This window comes from Homo sapiens, chromosome 13, assembly GCF_000001405.40.
Source record: "Homo sapiens chromosome 13, GRCh38.p14 Primary Assembly".
Lineage (NCBI taxonomy): Eukaryota > Metazoa > Chordata > Mammalia > Primates > Hominidae > Homo > Homo sapiens.
In genome coordinates this window covers 102037305-102057979 of record NC_000013.11, presented here as the reverse complement: position 1 = coordinate 102057979, position 20675 = coordinate 102037305, and the positions used below count along the sequence as shown (strand labels likewise).

The window sequence follows — 20675 nt, the reverse complement described above, 5'->3', positions numbered from 1 at the left end:
TAAAGTAATGTGATTATCAGTGGAGGAATTTCACAGGCTTCCACAAATTAACAACAAAGTATGCTTAGTGATGGAAAGTGATCCCAACATTCAGCACTTGGAGAAATTAAGACACTTCAAGAATTAACCCAAGGTCTAAAATATTCTATTAATTGAATTGGGAATAAATTCCTTACAGTGGTTAAATGTATTCAGTCACTTTATTTATCATTTATTTATCTATTCCTTTATTCAAGAAATATTTTTCAGTCAGCACTGAATTATGCATTAAGAAATTACTGTCAACAAAAATAAGTTCATGGCCACAGATGATTACAATGCACTATTCATGCCATAAATAGCTATTTACTCAACAAATATTTATTGCATGCTCCCTATGTTTCAAATACTATAATGGTCACTGAGAATACAGTATTAAAAAATAGGTATGGTCCTTGTTCTCATACTAACTATATTCTGGTTAGGGAAGAGATACTTTAAAGTATTAATCTTGTAAGAAAATATTATTATTAATAGCAGAATTACTCCATCCAATTGTGGGGCCTGAGGCAGGACTGCAAATGGAGACCATATTCCATACACGTAAAGAGCTAAAGTTATCAATCAGACTCACTGTTGACTGAAATGTATTCTTTCCTATGCTGACAAATAAGCATTCATCATAACAATTTGTAAAATATTCATTAAACTATAAGATTTTTATGACTAAAATTTAGCAAAGTACTAAAGGTGACTGAATCTAGTTATCATTGCTTATTTTTTTCATATTCTGTTAATGGGTCAGTTATCTTGTGTTCATAATATGATTAAAAAATTCATAGTTTATAAACAATTATATCATTACTCCTTTGAATTTACTTTTTCTGCTTTCATTTTAGCAAAATCACTAATTAAGCTAATATAAAAAGTCACATAAACCATATTTTATTGGCAGCAATGATCTAAAGAATTCAGAAATAAAATGTAATTGGATTCAAATTGTATAAAATTTAAATGTCATAAAAATATGTCAAAGCAAATTTTAAAAGTTGAAAAACAAATTATTTATATAATATACTAAATCATTACTTTTCTAAAATTCAAAATTACCTATTGCAATAAAAGGGAGAATACTAGTTATAATTCTATTGAAATTATTTTAAGAATTTCATTATATTTTATATAAATATATATTCATTTTAGTTTTATAATATATTTATATCTGTATTATATTTTACATATATATAAACAATATAATTCTGGTATTCATTGTTGAATCACTGTAGGATCCTGATTCTCATGTTCTTTCTAGACCTATTCATATTTAAATTTAAGACAAAAATACAGCTTTTAATATTACGAAATGTTTCTTAGTTGTCATGTGCAACTATTGCATATAATTTGCTGTATTGTGAGTATTTATGGAACCACAAATGAGACCATGAAGTAGGAAAATGGGCACTTAGCACTTTGGAGAAATTATGTTTTATTATGTAAGTATCTACTGCATCCATATTCTCTGAGAAGGATTTGACAAGTTAATTAATGTGTCTTTTTTCTACCAAAAGCACAGAAATGTTAATCTCTGCTGTTGGTAGTGGCACGAACTGAAAACTCTTGCACCAATTGGACAAAATGTAGCCTTTGCTTTGAAAACAAAGGTAAATGATTGTTGAACTATGTTTCTTTGAGCCTAAATGTAGGTAGTCTCAAGGGCAGATAAGAGTTATAGGCTGTGTCAATGGCTGGCAAATTTTTCTGTCATGGGCCAAATAGCTTTGTCTTTCTGGGCCATTTGTAACAAATACCCAACTCTGTCATTGTAGTGCAAAAGCAACTGTAGACTATGTATAAATGAATGAGCATAGCTGTGTTTCAATAAAGCCGATGTGATTTGTCTGTGTCCCCACCCAAATCTCATCCTGAATTGTAGCTCCCATAATTCCCACATGTGGGAGGGACCCAGTGGGAGATAATTGAATCATAGGGGCAGTTATACTGTTCTCGTGGTAGTGAATAAGTCTCATAAGATGTGATGGTTTTATAAGGGATTTCCCTTTTCCCTTGGCTCTCATTCTATCTTGGCTGCTGTCAGGTATGATGTGCCTTTCACTTTCTGCCATGATTGTGAGGCCTCCCCAGCCACATGGGACTGTGAGTCCATTAAACCTCTTTTTCCTTATCAATTACCCAGTCTCGGGTATGTATTTATCAGCAGTATGAAAATAGATTAATACAAAAGCTTTATTTGCAAAAATAGGCAGGCTGGGTCTGGCCCAAAGAGGTGTGGTTTGCCACCCCCTGTGTTGTGCTATGCCCCCACTGAACATTGAATCTCAAGTGGCAGAAGTACGCATGTCTCCTTTAATAAATGTATCATGGGTGTGGTATTACTATGCTGAAGTTTAGGTGCAGAACAGAGGCCTGACTGCCCAGTTCTAAGGGATGATTTGTTAATAGAACAGGGTAAAGAGTTTAGATTTTATTCCAAGTAGGATAACAAGCCTTTGAATGGTGTTCAACAGGAATATGATATAATCTTAGTTATGTTTTAAAAAGATCCCACTGACTTATGTTTGGAGAACAAACAAAGTACTATGAAAGCACAACAAAGAGACAGAGATTAATCCCTCTAGAGGAAAGCAATAAACGTTTCACAGAGCAGATGAAATTTATTTGAGTCATAAAGGTTAAGTCAAGGAAAGGCATGTCAGGCACAGGGAATAGTATGTGCATAAGCAGACAATCAAAAGAGCCTCAGCATGTATTGGAGATGATTTTAAAAATTCAAATTGACTAGAAAAACATGTGCATGAGGCATGTGGCAGGAAATAAGGCTGAAAAACTAGGTTGGATTTTTGTATGCTACAAATGGGGCATTGAACTGTGAGAAACAATTAAGGAACTGGCTAAGTCTTTAAGTGGGTATGGTGAGATTTTATTTATAGTTAGAAATAACTGTATTTCTCCATGGGACTGGAGAGTGGATAAAGGACTGGAATGTGAGACATGGATACCTGGTTGTACAGTGATTCAAAAAGATGGGTGATGAAAATCAGAAATGAAGGCATGGCTGTGGGAACAGAAAGCGGGAGTGATAGTTTCAGAGGATTCTTTGGCAATAATACTTATGAGATTTGATGAATGGTTTCATATTGGGGATGAATAAAAGGAGGGATAACTCTGATAACTACCTAGAAAATGTGGAAGCAGTAACACCTTGCTCTGTGGTGGGAGGAGAGGTAGAAAAGGAGAGAAACATAATGACTTGTGTTTTGGATACCCTAAGTTGAATTTGAGTTTAGACATCCAGATGCGATGTATAGTAGAAAGTTGAAGGATGTAGCAATACTTGGTATCAGCAGAGGGTGGATAGTAGCTGATGCCACAAAGAGTCTGAGAAAACCCAGGGAAAGTCCAAACACCTGACTCTGTAATTAAAATTGACATTAACACTAACCAATGGGGAACAGACTGAGAAGAGGTTAAGAAAACGGACTCTTTCTAATCCTGACAGTAATTCTGTGGCTAAGTATGCTTCATTCATTGTCTTATAGGGGAGATGGCCAAACAGTGGTATGGGACTATCTTCCTCACATTACAAAATAGCTTTAGTAAAGTGTAATTTACATGTATAGTCTAAACATTATGTCCACTATAAAAGAGGAGATAAAATTCTAGGAGGGAACTCCTCTAAATATATTGATTTTTTAAAAGCACTCTTTGTGATACATTATGCCACATCAAAAAGTGTGAGAAAAAATTAATCAAGATCATAGTTAACTATTATTTCTCATAATATTTCTTAAGTTACATTTTTAAAAAGTGACTCAGTATTCTCTCACATCAGTGATGACAGATTGGTTTTCTGTGCCTCAAATTTATCCCATTCTGTCTTGTCTTGTTCCTAAGGATGCTGCAAAATCTATAAGTAAATGTCCATAGCTATGGTGACATGTATATCAACCATGAAATAAATATTGCTTACCTGCTTGCAATATAAAGGAATTTGAGAAGCAAAATCTCCTTCACTCATTGATTTAAAACTAGTTGAGTGAGTACTATGTGCCAGGAACTGTGTTAAATGTGAAAGATAAAATGATGAAACCCTTTACCAGAACTTACAGTTCAGTAAAAACAAAAGAAACAGAACATAAATGAAGTAGAACTTAAGTTCTATTCACTTTTTATATAATGATATAATCATTCCAAAATCCCAGCTGTGCAAAGTACAAGTTCTAAGCCATTATATGTGTTTATTAACTTCTCTGGTTTTTCCTCTGGGAAACTGACGTAATTTTTGTCTACCCCAGAGCTTGTGAGACTTAAACATTTATAAAGCAGTAAGCAAATATCTAACACTTAGAAAGCTTTCTTATTTTCTTGATGTAGGCATTTATTGCTATACATTTACTTCTTAAAACTGCTTTTACTATACCCCATACATTTTCATAAGTTGTGTTTACATTTTTGTTTATCTCAAGACATTTTTAAATTTTGCTTTTAATTTGTTCTTTAATTGATCGGTTGTTCAGGAACATGTTGTTTAATTTCCATATGTTTGTGAATTTTCTGAATTTTCTTTTGTTATTTGAAATAATTTCTCTATTTTGGTTTCCATTTGCAAGGAATCCTTTTTTCCATCCCTTAACTTTCAGTCCATGTGTTTCCTTAAAGGTGAAGTTAGTCTCTTGTAGGCAGCATATTGTTGGATCATGTTCTGTTTCGTTTTCCTTATTGCTTCAGCCACTCTACGTCTTTTGATTGGAGAATTTAATCTCTTTATATTTAAGGTAATTATTGATATGTAAATACCACTGCTATTTTGTTATTGTCTTATTGTTTTATAGATCCTTTGTTCCTTTCTTGCTATCTTCCTTTGTGATTAGGTGATTTTTCTCTAGTGTTTTGCCAAGATTCCTTACTGTTTATCTTTTGTGCATCTACTATTGGTTTTTGCTTTGTGGTTACCATAAGGCTTTTTGATGTTACAATTTACATCTTTTTATATTGTACATCAGTTAACATATTATTGTAGCTCTTGGTATTTTTAATACTTGTCTTTTAGTCATCACACTAAAGACATAAGTGATGTACACACCACTATTACAGTATTAGAGTACTCCAAATTAACTGCTTACTTTTATTTATGAGTTCTGTACTTTCAGATGTTTTTGTGTTACTCATTAGCATCTTCTTCTTTCAGCTTGAGAAACTCCCTTTACTATTTCTTGTAAAACAGGTCTGGTGATTATGAACTTCCTCAACTTTTGTTTGTCTGAAAAAGTCTGCTTCTCTTCATTTCTGAAGGACATATTTGCTGGATACGGTATTCTTGGTTGACAGTTTTTTTTTTCTTCACCACTTCAAATCTATCATTTCACTTTTTCCTGGCCTATAAGGTTTCTGATGAAAAATTCACTGCTGCCTTATTGAAATTCTCTAATATATGATTTGCTTTTTTTTCTCTTGTTACTTTTAGTATCCTCTCTGTCTTTGAAAAATTGGTTACAATTTTTCAAATTTTCAAAAATTTTCAGAAATCCAATTTTTGAAAAATCGGTTACAATATGTCTTGGTATAGTCTTGTTTAGATTGAATCTGTTGACCTTCTCGTACCTGGATATTTATATTTTTCCTGGATTTGGAAAGTTTTTGCTATTTTTTTAAAATAAACTTTCCAGCTTTTTATCACTCTCTTTTCTTAACTGCCAGGACTCAAACATTTGCTCTGTTGATGTTGACCTATGAATCCTGTAAGCTTCCTTTATTCCTTTTTGTTGTTTTTCTTTTCTGATTATATATTTTCAAATAACCTGTCTTTGAGTATATAGATATTATCTCCTGAATACAAATAAATTCTTATGTTGATGCCCTCTATTTCATTTTCATTTCATTAACTGTATTTTTCAGCTCCAGAATTGGATTAATTTTTAAAATAATTTTAATCTGTTAAACTTTTTGTGTTGGTAATTCATTGTTTTCCTGATTAACTGAATTGTTTCTCTATTTTCTTGAAGTTCATTGAGCTTCCTTAAAACAATTATTGTGAATTTTTTTAAGCATTTAATATATCTCCATTTCTTTGTGTCAGCTACTAAGAGATTATTATGGTCTTTTGGTGGTGTTATGTCTCTTTGGTTTTTCAAGCTTCTTATTGACATTGATGTGTATGTATTTGGTGGAGTATTCACCACTTTCAGACTCTACTGGCTAGTCTTGCTGTGGAAAGACCTTCCTTTATGGGAGAGAGGGGATGTGAGAATGCTTGCTGGTTGTGGTGCAGCAGTTCTGACACCAGTAAGGGTGCTGCTGTGTAGTGTTTGTATAGCTCTATCAGCTAAGGTCAGAGTTGGCAAATGTTGCAGGGATCCTCAGCAGCCAACACTGTGCTATCCATAGTGGTAGTGAGCACTGGTAGGGTATTTGGTGGTGATGGCTGCCAAAGTCCTCCTGATCCCTTTTCTCACAGTGGGGAAGTTATGGCTCAGCAGGTCCTTTGGGGCACTGGGTCTGGCTTGTGGGTTCACTTGAAGTGGCAGTGGCACTGGTGTCTGATGTGTGGTGCCTGTGGATCTGAGGCCTGAAGTACAGGCATGCACAGAGTTTCTGTGGCTCTGGGATCCGGGAAAGTAATGGCAATGATACTCAGGGTACAGGCACTCCCCACTACCATGCTGGTAACATAGTGTGAGACATGGATACTTGTGGAGCAGAAAGAGATCTGGAAATGAGATCACAGATGGGTGAGAGTTAAATGTTGGGGTGGGGCCTAGCTCTCTATGGCAGCTGAGCCAGTGCCTGGAACATGGGCACATGTAATGAGATGTTTCACACTGTGGGCCCCAGAGCTAAGTCCTCACTCCATGTGCCTGAGACATGAGTGGGCTTAACGCAGCCACCAAGCCTGGGCCTGTAATGTGGGCACTTGCATATTGACCACAGCTCTGAGACTGAGATAAATGGTGGTTTGGGAGACGTGGTAGCTAATTTCCTGAAGCAACTTAATACAGCTGTGCAGCCATACCTGTCTCTGGTGTTCCCCATCAAGAATGGCTGTTGGTTACCTCAGTGGCAAGATATGCCAGTATCCTCTGCAGATGAGACCATGGGCTGATATTGATAGGTCCACCTTTCTTCTTTGGTCCTAGCAGTCTCCTGGTGTCTCAGGTATGCTGATCCCACCAGTGATCCTTTCTGTATCAATATTCTATGTTTTTTTTCTCTCTACTGTATTGCTGCCAATTTTTTCATGAGCCCTTGAGCTTTCCCTGGGTTTATCTGATTTGTGAGTAGCTATCTGCGCTTTTTCTTTTTGTGTGTGTGGGATGAAGGCTTGTCTCTTACTCTGCCATATTTGTGACATCATCTTGGTGACATCTTGGTGACTTGGTGTAGTCCACCATTTACATTGAGTCTTAAGGAATCTGTAGATTTATTAATTAATTTTGTTTCTCAATCATTATTAGACAGAACATCAGCTTATTCCTAAGAAATATATGGGCATCTTGAAAGCTATCAGTTGTTGGATGTTTACAGGGTGCTAGGTGTTCAACGTTTGTAGTTGCTACAAGTTCTACAGTGATCTGTAAAAGTTCGTGGTTATGGTGATGGAAGAGATGATGACCATAAAGTGTGACTCCAAAACTATATAGTTTTGTTTCTTTGCTTATAAGAGCTTCCCCATCCCCCAAGGTGGTTTTATGTATAAGATACAGAAAGCTTTTAGTTTTATGAGTTTATTAATCTATTTTTCTATACTGTGTCCTGATACAGATGGAAGGATAAGTACATCCTAGAAATTTCTCATTTATTTTCCTCTTAACACATTTGAATCATCCACTCAGCCTTGAAAGGAAATAAAGTACCTTGGACTTTGCCTTGCTCTTTCCATATATTTTTATAGCTTTTATAACTAAGAAATGGAACACTAAGTCTCAGCAGCATGTTGCTGAAACAACGTCATTGTATTAGTTTGCTAGGAGGGCTGTCATAACAAAGTGTCCCAAACTGGTTGGATTAAGCAATTGGAATCTATTGTCTCACTGTTGTGGAGGTTATAAGTCTGAGATCTAGGCATGAGTGGGGTTGGTACCTTTCAGTCATATGAAATAGAATATGTTTGATGCCTCTCCCCTAGATTCTGGTTGTTTGCCATCAATCTCTTTTGTTCCTTGGATTGTGGACAGCTCTCTCCAGTCTCTTCCTTCATGTTCACATGACATTGTGTGTTTGTGTGTTTGTGTGTGGGGGGGTGCGTGTGTGTAAATTTCCCCTTTTTATAAGGATGCTAGTCATATTGCATTAGGGGCATATTCTCATCCAGTATGAGCTCATCTTAATTTAACTAATTATACCTGTAATAATCTTATTTCCAAATAAAGTCACATTCTAAGGTACTGGTGGTTAGAACCTTAATATATGAATGAGGAGAGTAAGATGCAAACAGTAATGCTCAGGCAAGCAAACAATGTTTATTTAATGATGATTTGGACTTTTGGAAATCCAATTCTGTCTCCTATTTTTTTGTTGTTTTGAAGTGAACATATTATTAGAAGACTCAAAATCAGTAATCCCATTCAAAACAAAAAGAAGGGTTTCACAGTGACAGTGAGGCCCAATGACACTGGGTGCTCAGTCCTGGAATAATGATTTTAAAGTCAATAAAAATTTGATTTTCAGATTTATTTTTGTCTAGAAAGAGCACATTTATTGACTGGTTAAAACTCAGAATGTAGAGGTAAAAGAAAGGACATTTAATTGTGCAAATCAAAGTTTGTGTCTTTTATTTAAAAATTATATATAGCCTATAAGGATTTTCTGGCATGTTCAAAATTAATATCCTTTCATATTTATATTGATTGTATTTTTTTTCCTAAAATTTTCCTTTAAAATGGTTGATTGAAGTTTCTTTGACTATTGATTTTTTACATTGTTTTCTCAGGAGACATATGTCTTAGTTTTTTATTTCGTATCATAATTTTTGCCCTTTCTTGGAATCTAACTTTTTTCTCCCATTATCAGCTGAAATACAGCAATATCAAAAGACTGCTGTTTTAGGAAGGGAAGTTATTCCGATTTAAATAATTAATGTGACAGTATCTGAGGAATTAGAGTTGGAATCCAGAGTAATCAATAAGAGAATCCTCTTTTTCTCCATAGCTGGGGAAGCAAAGGCTAAATAACATAAGGAATGTGCCTGAGTGAAGACAGCCTCGGTTCTGGAATTGGGCACAAACTCTGGCTACTATAAGTTTCCAAAGGTCAATGTCATTCTTCCCCTGGGAATGTCTTCCCAGTGAGTTATTTCAAATAGCATGGGCCTGCTCCTTCTCACACAGGTGCAGCATCATCATCCCCAGCAGGTAACACTTACGTGGCACTAAGTATTGCCCAGATAGGATGAGGAGTGGAAACTTAATTCTGGATTTGGAACTGGAAGACTTTCAGATCTGTCATACACGACAGCGGGCAAGTCACTGAACTTCTAAGCCTTAAGTGACTCCGACTCTAAGATGGAAATTATAATTTACCTCCAAATGTTGTGGGCATAAAACATGGAATCCAAAGTGAAAGATGTAACAAAAAATGATAGTTACCGTATACTAACCACAAGGTATCAGGCACTCTGCAAACTCTTCATGTGTCCATTATCCCATACAATTTTCACAGCAACCATGCAGTACAGGTATTTATTATTCCCTCACACCCCCTTTTCTAGAAGACAAAACATAAGATTGGTACTTTTCCTAAGATCGCAACAGCTTTTGAACAACAGAGCAAGGTTATGACCTAAGAGCCATGCTGTTTCCTCATCTACCACATCATTAAACAGCTTGAACTGGGCCATTCAGCCAAAAGAAACCCAGTCATAGAAACTTGGAGCAAGTCGTTTCATGGAATAGAAACTCTTTTAATCTCTTCAGAGTAAACTTCAGTTAAATATGAAAAGTTTATATCAACTGCTGCTTTTTTTTTTTTTAAACAACTAAGATAATAAACCGGGCTTAGAAAGTCTCCTTCTAAAGGAACTGGCACCATACCAACTAAAAGGGCCCATACTCTTTTCTCATAAAAATGTATTTTTTGCTTCTAAATAGAAGGCATGAAAAGTGGGTTTAAATTTCCTTTTTAATGTTGAGAAAAACTATTTGTAAAGATGATTTTTTTTATTATACTTTAAGTTTTAGGGTACATGTGCACAACATGCAGGTTTGTTACATATGTATACATGTGCCATGTTGGTGTGCTGCACCCATTAACTCGTCATTTAGCATTAGGTATATCTCCTAATGCTATCCCTCCCCCTTCCCACCACCCCACAACAGGCCCCGGTGTGTGATGTTCCCCTTCCTGTGTCCATGTGTTCTCGTTGTTCAATTCCCACCTATGAGTGAGAATATGCGGTGTTTGGTTTTTTGTCCTTGCGATAGTTTGCTGAGAATGATGGTTTCCAGCTTCATCCATGTCCCTGCAAAGGACGTGAACTCATCATTTTTTATGGCTGCATAGTATTCCATGGTGTATATGTGCCACATTTTCTTAATCCTTTAAAACATTTCAATCCTTATTTTGTCCTGAACAGGCCAGTAATTTTTTTTTAAAGGTATAGCTAAATCTCCCTCAAGAGCAGAAATGATTACAATTAGAATCTTTTAGGTTTGCATTATTATTCTTATTATTCTTAAACCAAAATTTCGAAGCTGCCAAGATGTATGTATGTGTATGTGTGGGATGGTAGGAAGGGGATAAAATGGTTAATTTTTTATATAAAGCAAAAATGACCTTTTTGGATGACATTTCCTGCTGTCCATATGTATTATACTTCTAAATTTTCTCATTTAAATATTTTGTTCTCTTATCTAGGCTACAACCCAGAAAAAATATACTATTTATTCAGTTTTATGTGTGAATTTTCCATTTGGAGTATACTTCGCCAATTCCTGTCCAGAGTTGTATGATTTTGATTATTTGAATACTATAAAATAACACACAACAATTTTGTGCTAAAATGTAACACTAACCTGACACCTCCCCAATAGATCCATCTGCTGAGATGGTTTGGTGACCAATTAATATTTTTTTCTTAAGTAATTATGACAGCAGTACCCATGAAGAGACATTCATTATTGGAATAGCAACATTTATTCTAAACTAAATTATCAATGTAGAAATTATGCTTCAAATATAGCAAATGCATTTATTTACATTTTTAAAATCATCCCTTGCTAATGGTAGAAAAGATGTTAGGGCTTTTCATCTATCCACCTGTACTTTTCAACAATTTTCTGAAGATGTGATAAAGTAATTTCAATAAACCTTTTTAATATATTCCACCTTTTATTGGATATCACCGTCAGCACTCACAATTTGTTAATTGTGTCATTTGAGGTAGGAACAATGAAAGCAAAATGGTAGTTTAACAGAACGGTGCATTAAATTGTCAAATAAAGATTTATGACTAAGACCCCAGATTTAACCCTGGGTAGCTATACTCACTTTTCCTATTTGACGCAACATCATACTCCTGTTTTTTGTGGTTCCCCATTTAATTCATGTTTCTTTAAAATAGTAATAACATGTGAGAGCTTTTCTCTTAGTGTTCTTTATATTAATAAACTCAAAAATATTTTCTGACAATAAGCATTAATTTTCCCACATCATTATGCACAAGCTTTAATATTAATAATGTTTATTTGTAGGTGCAGTTAACTACAATCTATCTGTGTTTATAATTCTATGATATTGATATATGGTTTTCATGTTAATAATTTTAGTGGAATTATCTTTCCAGAAATCAGCCCCGTAGGAATTGACTAGAGAGAGGCTTAGGAAAAAGGAGTTAGGGGGTTGGGTAACTGGAGAGTCAGTGTTTCCTGCCCAGGCAAGAACAAAAGGCATCTCTTTTTTCTTGTGCAAGAAGTGGGAGTTAGAATAGATCTTGACATTGACAAAAGTCCTTAAGAACATGCCAAGGATTTACCACTTCTCTAACCCTCACAAGATCAATCACTTGGTAATTGCTGTGATAACAACTCAGCAATTACCAAGTGATTGGTTTTGTGAGAATGCTTGTTCAGCTCTTCTAGCCATTCCTCACAGGCTTGTCAGACCCCGGGCCCTTCTGCATGAATGACATGCTTAATGCTGTAGTGCCTCCAAGTAGCTACCAGACAGACTATCCTATAGATGGCAGAGCAAAGATTTTCAGGCTGAATTCAGTTGCTTTAATCACACAGTTGATTTGCTGAACTTAAAACTTACAACCAGAATGAATGGGAAAGAGATGTAGATAATTACACATCTCTAAACTGTATCAGGGATCAAATATGATTATGAACCAGATACATACAATTTGTGCTTTTTCCTTTTCAAAGATCCCTATGTACAATGTAACATGTTCTGCATTTCCATTATTCTGCCACTGCATGGTCTTTTAATTTTTTTTCTAGCTTGTTAAGGAATTTTCATGATAGAGATCACAGTTGCTCCACAGTAATCAAAATCAGACAATGAGTTGTCCTGATGGTTTCTTTATATGTTACCTGAGTTCTTCTACCACAGCCTTCTGTGCCATTTTATATTTTCTCCTCACCATTTATGAAATTCTAAAAACCTAATATTCGTGAAAGAGATCAAGCATTCCTGTTTCAGGCATCCTGTGAAAATTGAAACTTCTGTGTGTATTTACATATATTTATATCTATGGTTACAGCTTTTTTTTTTTCCATCTGCATAGCAGTTTCCTTTCCAGTCATCCCTAAAGGATGTATATTTAGCTGATGTGACATACTTAGTCTACCTCTGTGTGCACATAGATGCTTGATGGGAAGTGTCTGAGACAACTCTTGAAACTTCACCCTATAATGTATATTTTAACTACACAAATTGAATATCAAAATTATTAGATGAGTAAAATTCAATTGACACTCTCAGACTCTGAGGTCAGCTTAACAGACATGGATGGGGAACGTCAGTGAGGTTATAGACACATGTTTTTGCCACTATTGCTGTTCTGTCCTTGTATAAGAATGAGGATGAGTAGACACCTCTATTTGCTGGCCATGGTAGCAAGTCAGAGTACACCAACATCGGCAAAATTTCTCCAATAGATCTAGAGTATTTTGGTAGACATATGTCAATATTTCCATTAAACTGTAAATGATCTACATGCATCTGGCCAAATAAAATGCTTGAAATTTTGATGTTGGAAAGTTGTGGGGGACTGACGATGTATATCTTTCTTCTTCTTGAGTGGTGGAGGATGGTGGAAGGTAATTTGAGATTGTTTTCCTCCTGAAAGTGCCTTTTACAGCAATTAAATGGCTTTGAGAGATCATGGGTTTGGAAATAATTAAAATGATGATCACTTTAAGGCAGTTTTTAAACTGTGTTTAACTTAATGCTTCAGAGTATCTCCAAGCCACCTGAAACTTATAGAAAATTTTGTGCATTTTTTTTTTACGAAAGAGGAGACTTCGCTTTTATTCCTTTCTCAACAGATCGATGATCTGGCAAATAGTTGCCCTAGGATGCCCATTAGGTTGAACATGAAGGACAGGTTTTTATGGACTACTACTAATTTATTTATATATGTTCCTCTTCCAAAAGTTCATTTAATAAAAGCAGTTTTTTTTTTTATCATTGCAATCATCTTTTGCAGTTTAGGGGAGAAACAATAGGAAAGGAATCAGTTATCTTTTAGGGGTAATTAGCAGTTAGGACAGCATCTACCAGGAGGAGGAGAGTACCTGTGTAAGTCAGGATTCATTTGGAAAGTACCTCAACTGCAGCTCCCTATGGAGTCAAGGGGGATGTCAGTGGCCAGTCAGCTGGCCAACCGGGTCTTGACCCCAGGTGAGATGAAGTGGAGGAAAGCACATGTTCCAGCTGTATCTTCTGTGCAAATAGACTTCAAGACAAGTTAGCATGGCTGGCCAGAGCCACCTTACTTTGGGCATTGGCATTCACATTCCAGTGTCATTTCTATGCAGTTCCACTCATAGCTTCCCAGAGTTAAAGCTTAACAGAACTTGAGCACTGTAATTTCAGAGATCCTTCTGATTGCTGCACTTGTACAAGGATGGTGCAGCAGCCATGACAACAATCCAGTTGCTAGGTAGGATGTGGTAGCCGCACTGATAGTCCACATGCATGCCAGTTAAGCTGGCCTTTGGGCTGGAGACCATCTAAAGTGAGACCCAGAGAGGTTAAATGGCTTGCCCAAGATCAACAAGATAAATGCTGGAACCGTGGGAAGGAAAGGCCAGATTTCCTAGTTCCTAATCTAGTTTCATGTTTCTTATATGGCTCACTGTTTCGGTCAGATATTTGCTTTTACCCTGTTTTGCACTTTACTGGCCTTATTTGAGAAGGTTTTCCATTTTCATGTCCCATACTGCATTTTACCTCTTTTTAATTTCTCCCTCAAACCTGCCTTTAGAGTTATACCCCAATTTGATCCCTCTAGGGGAAAAATGTTCCACTTTCATCCACTGTCAAGTACTTGCCCTTCTAAAAAAGAAGCAAATTGTTTGGAGGTTTTGCCTCAGTGTTTAGCAAAGTATCTGGCCTAGAGTAAGCGTTGGATGAAACCTGTTGTTTGACAGTTGTTAAACAATTGTGATTTAATGCAGCCTGGTTCCAATTGGAAGAATAAGTCATCTGAGTGGTTAGTGGCTTTAAGTACGATTGAGGAAAAGTCCTGAGAAGAACAAAGACCACTAAAATATAAAGGTGACCTTGGGTGCTTCATTTTGCTTATCCGGATTGTGTTATTTAATAAAGGAGTCAATATCAACACTATTTTCCTGCAAGGTTGTTTTAAGGATTATATGCGTATGAATGGACATGACAGATTAAAAGAGCAATGTAAGACATTAATTATTTCTTTTTATGATCAGCACTAATGCTATTTGCTAGAATGCAAAGATAAATATGGTCCTGACCCTGTCATTCATAAGCTCATATTTTTCTCTTTATCCATTCGTCCGTCTGGTAAATTCGTATTTTTTAGTCCAGTGATTCTCTTGGCACAAATGTCTGAGATATTTTTGTTGTCACTGCTGGAGGTTTGCTACTGACACTTGCTGGTACTGCATATTCTACAATACGCAAAGCCCTCTGCAACAAAGAATTGTGCAGCCCCAACTATCCATAGTTTTGAGAGTGAAACAGCCTGCCTTTTGAATAAAATCATCTGAATAAAATTGACTCACTCACTAAAAACATGAGTTCTCTGTTTTTTATATTCTCCTAAAATATACACAGACATGTGTTGGCACATCACTAATATTAGAGAGATTATGTTCCATTTAACTGCAAATCTGCAAGGGCAGGTGTTTGTCTTTTTTTTACCTTTGTGCTTACATGGCATTCACACATATTGGACACAGCATTCACTTGTTTATTCATTCATTCTAGACATTTTTGGCTTTGAGCATCTACTATATGCCAGGCCCTGTTCTAGGTTCTGAGGATATATTACTGAATAAAAAAGACATGTTGGAAATTACATTCCAACAGGTGGAAGTACTTACTGTGACAGGTGCCTCTTAGAGTTAATATTAAATACAAGAATAGACAAGGTCACTGAGGAACAATGATTACGACCTTCTCAATTCACTGAGCTAGACTGCAGTGTCTCAGAAGTGAGAAACAGCTGAGTAGATTGTACTAATTTATTGATAATGATATGAATTTGTGTACATTTCACAGGTTAGTGTCATGCATGAAAGTGCCTGTTTTACTAAGTGATACCATATTTGTATAAGCATTCCTTGTCAGCTGCCATGCAGATGCAGACTGCCTCATTACCATGTTTTATGCCACATAGGAGTTCCTATCATGTGCTAGGTAGTAGGTGAACCAGAACTCAGATGTGAAAATTGATTCAGTCTTTTACAAAAGAATTTAGGCATAAGGAAATGACTAAGGAAGGAAAGTTTGCTCTTCTTTGAGTATGTTCGTTTGTTACCAAACATTTTGTTGTGTTGGATAGTGAGATGAGTCCTTTAAGTGAACTTTGGCTGGCTGGTCACAGTGTTAAGATGTGCATTCTCAAGCAATGGAACTTAGGAGACTTGTGAAGGAGAAATGTGAAGGAAATTAGAGACTTCACTGTGGATGCTGTTGGAATGTGAGGAAATCATGTCCAAAGGTAGGATCTGAAAGAACTTTCACCTAGATAGGTAGTTCTCTCTCCCCACTCCCAAGGAGACACTTCTAGAAGAAAATAAGGAAGCACTTCTGGCTTTTATGAGGTTAAGGACCTTCCCCCATCCAGATGTCTTTTACAGTGAAAGACAGTTCTGCACACAGAAGAAGTCATTGCTGTGCACACTCTGACTTTCAAAATTCCTGTTCTAGTTCAAGTAAAGGAAACATTTTTTAATAAAATCTCTCTTTTTTTTTTTTTACATGGAAACACAAAGTAATTTTTGCATGGCTTAACATACACTGTTTTTTTTTTTTAAGGAATTCACTTACCATTAAATCAAAAGAAGGTCATACTATTTTTGTTGATAATTTTACCAAAAGTTCACCATTTTGAAAAATCTTATCACAAATAGCAATAGGAATAAAACATATATGTATCAGCTTGAATTTGTAACTGTCATAGTCATAATGACTCTAATTTCACACTAATTACACTCCCATTTTTCTAAAGTTTATTCTATAACTTTACAACATATAGTTTACAAGGTAGTTAACTATTATTTCTTCTAGGATAGTCAAACTTGATCATTTATATATTGAGATGCACATTCTTTTTAAATAATTATATTTTTCTTGCTCTTTTATATTATAGGGCATTAAATTTTTAAAAAATATGTGTGAAGAGAAAGTTATATAAATTTTTTTTTCAGATTGGCAAATAGGTACAACATACAATATTTGTTTGTAAAAGGAGGGACTGGAGCTACTAGATTAGAAATCACCGACTTGAGTGGAGTTCAATTCAGTTCATTATTTGTTGAGCACCTGCTGGGTATGGTAGGGTGGGTAAGTAAACATTGGCTCTGCCTCAACAGGTGCACCAATCTGTGATTAGGTAAGCGATTTTTTACTACCAAGAATAAGAAATATGGTAGCTAAGACCTCAATCTTAATGAGGATCCAAGCATCTTAAACTCTTTGCAAAATGAGTCAGAGCATAAATTAATCAATAGAGAACCACTGGACCCAACAGAAACAGCAGACAGGCACTGCAATTTTCCCAGGTACCCCCAAATTGATTGCCCAGAAAGATAAAGTAACAAAAATGCATGTCATAGCTTTTCACTTATGTGTTTTCACCAAGATTCAATAGCTTTCAGGGCTTTAACACACGGAAGCAGAATTGGGAAATTAACACATTGACAGCCAACAAATATCCATCCAATTTGCCATGTCCAATATATCCTACAAAGAAGCTTTCCTAGCGTTTCACTGTATTTTTGTGACATGATTGCAAAGTAGTTTTTATTATCTACAGTTTACAGATGTGTAAGTCAGGGCTCAAAGATATAGAGTGACATAAGACTCTTTGTTACTGTTTCTGTAGCAACTGTCATTGTGGAAATGCAAGATTTTCTGAAATTTTTGACGGTATAGCTGTCAATTTGCTGAACATTTAATCAGCACCCTCTATGTAAAAAGGTATTGTATACCTGGAGATGTAAGAGAAAAAAAGACAAATATGATTATTTGCTCCGCCTACAACTAGTAAAATGTGAGCTAATAAGGAAGAAATACTTGATCATGAGGATTATAGGGGAGAATATAAAAAGCTCAACAGTACAAAGGAAACAACCCACTAGGGAGCAGAGGAGCAAGAGAGACATTTTTAGAGTAATGGGAGATCTCTGTGATCTTCACAGAGATCACAATTTGAAAGAGGCTTGAAGAACGGATAGGATTTTTGTTGCTGTTGCTGTTTATTGAAACAACAACTCACAGGTAACATTTTCAGAGAGGCCTGTAGTTTGGTTTGACTTTTAGAGCCCTGGAACGTGATGCATGCTGAAGAGGATTTTTTTTTTTAACATGTAAACACAAAGTAATTTTTGCTTTGTGTCTCAATGGCAGCTTTTAGGCTGCAGAGTGATGAGCCTCGAAGCAGAATTACAGGAAGAAAACTCTAGAGTTTACACAGAGGATGGATTTCTCTGACTGAGGAAGCCACCCAAAGGATTAAAACCCCAAAAGTACCACATCTTCTTTTCAGCGGATAAGATACTTTTCAGGGAATTACATCCCCTAAAGAGAGATATTGAAGTCCCTACCTCTGGTGCCTATTAATGTGACCATATGTGGAAATTGGGTCTTAGCAGACGTAATCAAGTTAAGATGAAATCATTAGGGTGGGCCATAATCCAATATGACTGTTATCTTTATAAGAAGAACATTTGGACACAGGCACATCTAGAATAGCACGCGATGACAGAGGCAGAGACAGGAGTCAGCACCGCAGGAGCCAAAGAACACCAGGATTGCTGTCAGCCTCTGAAGCTGGGAGAGGGCCATGGGATGGATTCTCCCTCAGAGGCTGTAGGACCAACCTGCTGGCCCCTTGATTTTGGCTTCTACCGCCCAGAACTATGAAACAATGAATGCCTGCTGTTCTGAGCCACGCGGTCTGTAGTACTTCCTTACAGGAGCCCCAGGAGACCCACTCGGAAGCTGTGGGCTTTTTCTCCTCTTGGGATGACATACCACTCCACAAACTCAATTATTTTCCATCTGGTGAAAGAAAAAGAAAGTTATCTTGAAACAGGAGAATGAATGGGAAAATATGAGTGGCTCAGAAAGCTTCTCTTTAATTATTGACAGCAACAAAATAGAGTGAAGATATCAGAATGTGTGGGCGAGAGATAGACTTTAAATCTGAATTGAATTCAAGTTCAAGCTTCCCTGCTATACCCACTAAGGGACCTGGCTGTGTCATTTACCTGAGTCTATTTTCCCCTATTACATAATGAGGATAACAGAACATATCTCAAGTGGCTGCTGTGTGAATTAAATGAGCTAATCCATGTCACTACCAGTAGTACAGCACCTGGTACAGTACATACTCAGCAATTGGGATCACTCATGGGAGCATTTGTACTAGTAGAAATAGTATTTATGGGACAGGAAAGTTTTTCCTAGAAGCTAATGTAATACTTTAAAAACTTTATTTCTTAAAATCAAGTATTAATAAATAAAATTTCAATATAATAGGATGTATATTTCATTTAATCATTTAAATATAAAATATTAAAAATTAAAACTTTCACACTGGTTCAAAATATGTTGGCTTTATTTTATGACATAAAATGGATCTGACTGTCTCACAGTGGGGGGTAGAAATCCAATGCATATAGCAAATACAACCAACTAAAGATGAGTAAGATAAGAATAAAAAAATTAAGAATTTCTTGCAGGTTTAGGAACATCCCAACTCCCTGCTTAATACATTTGTTGAAAACAAGTTATTCATGATGAATGTGAAAATGTATGGTTCCTATTGTAAAAATCAGAAATCAAGGAAATTAGAGGTAGAAAAATGGATAATATAACTGTTCCCGGGTGCTCCCTGGAAAATGTTTTTCATGTTGATTTATCAAGTTTTGCATACCCTAGGAGCAGGCTTCAGTCAATCTCTTCTACTGTGGTGTGTGTCATTCTATGGTCAAGGAACTTAGCAGTTCCTCAAAATGGCTATGCTCACTAATAACATATATTCCAAGACAAACTGTTACACTGGGTGATATTATTCCCTTTCCATTTTTGAATAAAAGAAGTTAAGATACTTTTAATGGTGGTTGATCCAAACCCATTCATATTTGGCTTTAGAATGGATTTATGATCATATAGTTGAATATGAGCATTTCTAAACTTGGGTAATAAAGCATTTCATGCAAAATAATGCAATCTTCCTTTGGATCCCAGCCTAGATGTATTTATTTGACTTTTTAGCAATCTCTCTAGCTGTACATTATTTCCTTCTGTACCTCACCTCTTCCACCAAGCAAGAGATCCATTTTATTCATATTCGTATCTCATTTACATTGTTTTTCCTTTCTTGCTTGTTCACACTGGATGTATAAAATGGGGGAATTAACATGGAGTTTGAGATATTTGATATAAAGGGAAATTTATACTTTCTAGGGAGTACTGAAGTGAGTTGACTTGCTGTGCATTGGGCAAGCATGGTGTCTATCAAGCCTGAGGACAGGAATCCATTACTAGGCTCAATCCACTTGGATACTGGTCTGCAACGGTTAATGTGCAACTGATTTTCTTTAATAAATGTTTATATAGTCATTTTGAAACAAGACAATTATTAACAAATTTAGCAAACTGCTGACGTTTGATGAACAGAGAACCAGGTACCCACTAGGTATTTATTTAGTGTTAGTAGTTGTGGTCCTTTTCATGATCTTTCCCCCATTCCCTTATTTCCTCCTATTGGCAGGAGGGTTTTGCAGATGTGATTATGTTAGGAATATGGATATAGGGAGATTTTCCTGGATTATCCAAGCAGCTCATTATAATTAGGGCTATGGTCCAAGAAGGAGATGAGTTTATGGAGGAAAAGCACAGAGTGATGCAATTTTGCTGGCTTTGAAAATAGAGGAGAGAGGCCATGAGCCAAGGAAGACAGGCAACCTCTACAAACCAGAAAAGGTCAGGAAACAGACTGTTCCTTAGAGACTCCAGGAAGGAACACA

The 20675-nt window shown here is 36.0% G+C and overlaps 1 protein-coding gene and 1 non-coding gene across 22 annotated transcripts in view; both read left to right on the top strand.

Annotated features, from left to right (window-relative positions):
* FGF14 (fibroblast growth factor 14) overlaps positions 1-20675 on the top strand; it is a 691640-nt gene that overhangs the window by 344464 nt on the left and 326501 nt on the right. The window lies entirely within an intron of this gene.
* Positions 11976-12046, top strand: MIR4705 (microRNA 4705). Its single transcript, NR_039854.1, has one exon. It is a non-coding gene; the product is annotated as a microRNA 4705 (primary transcript).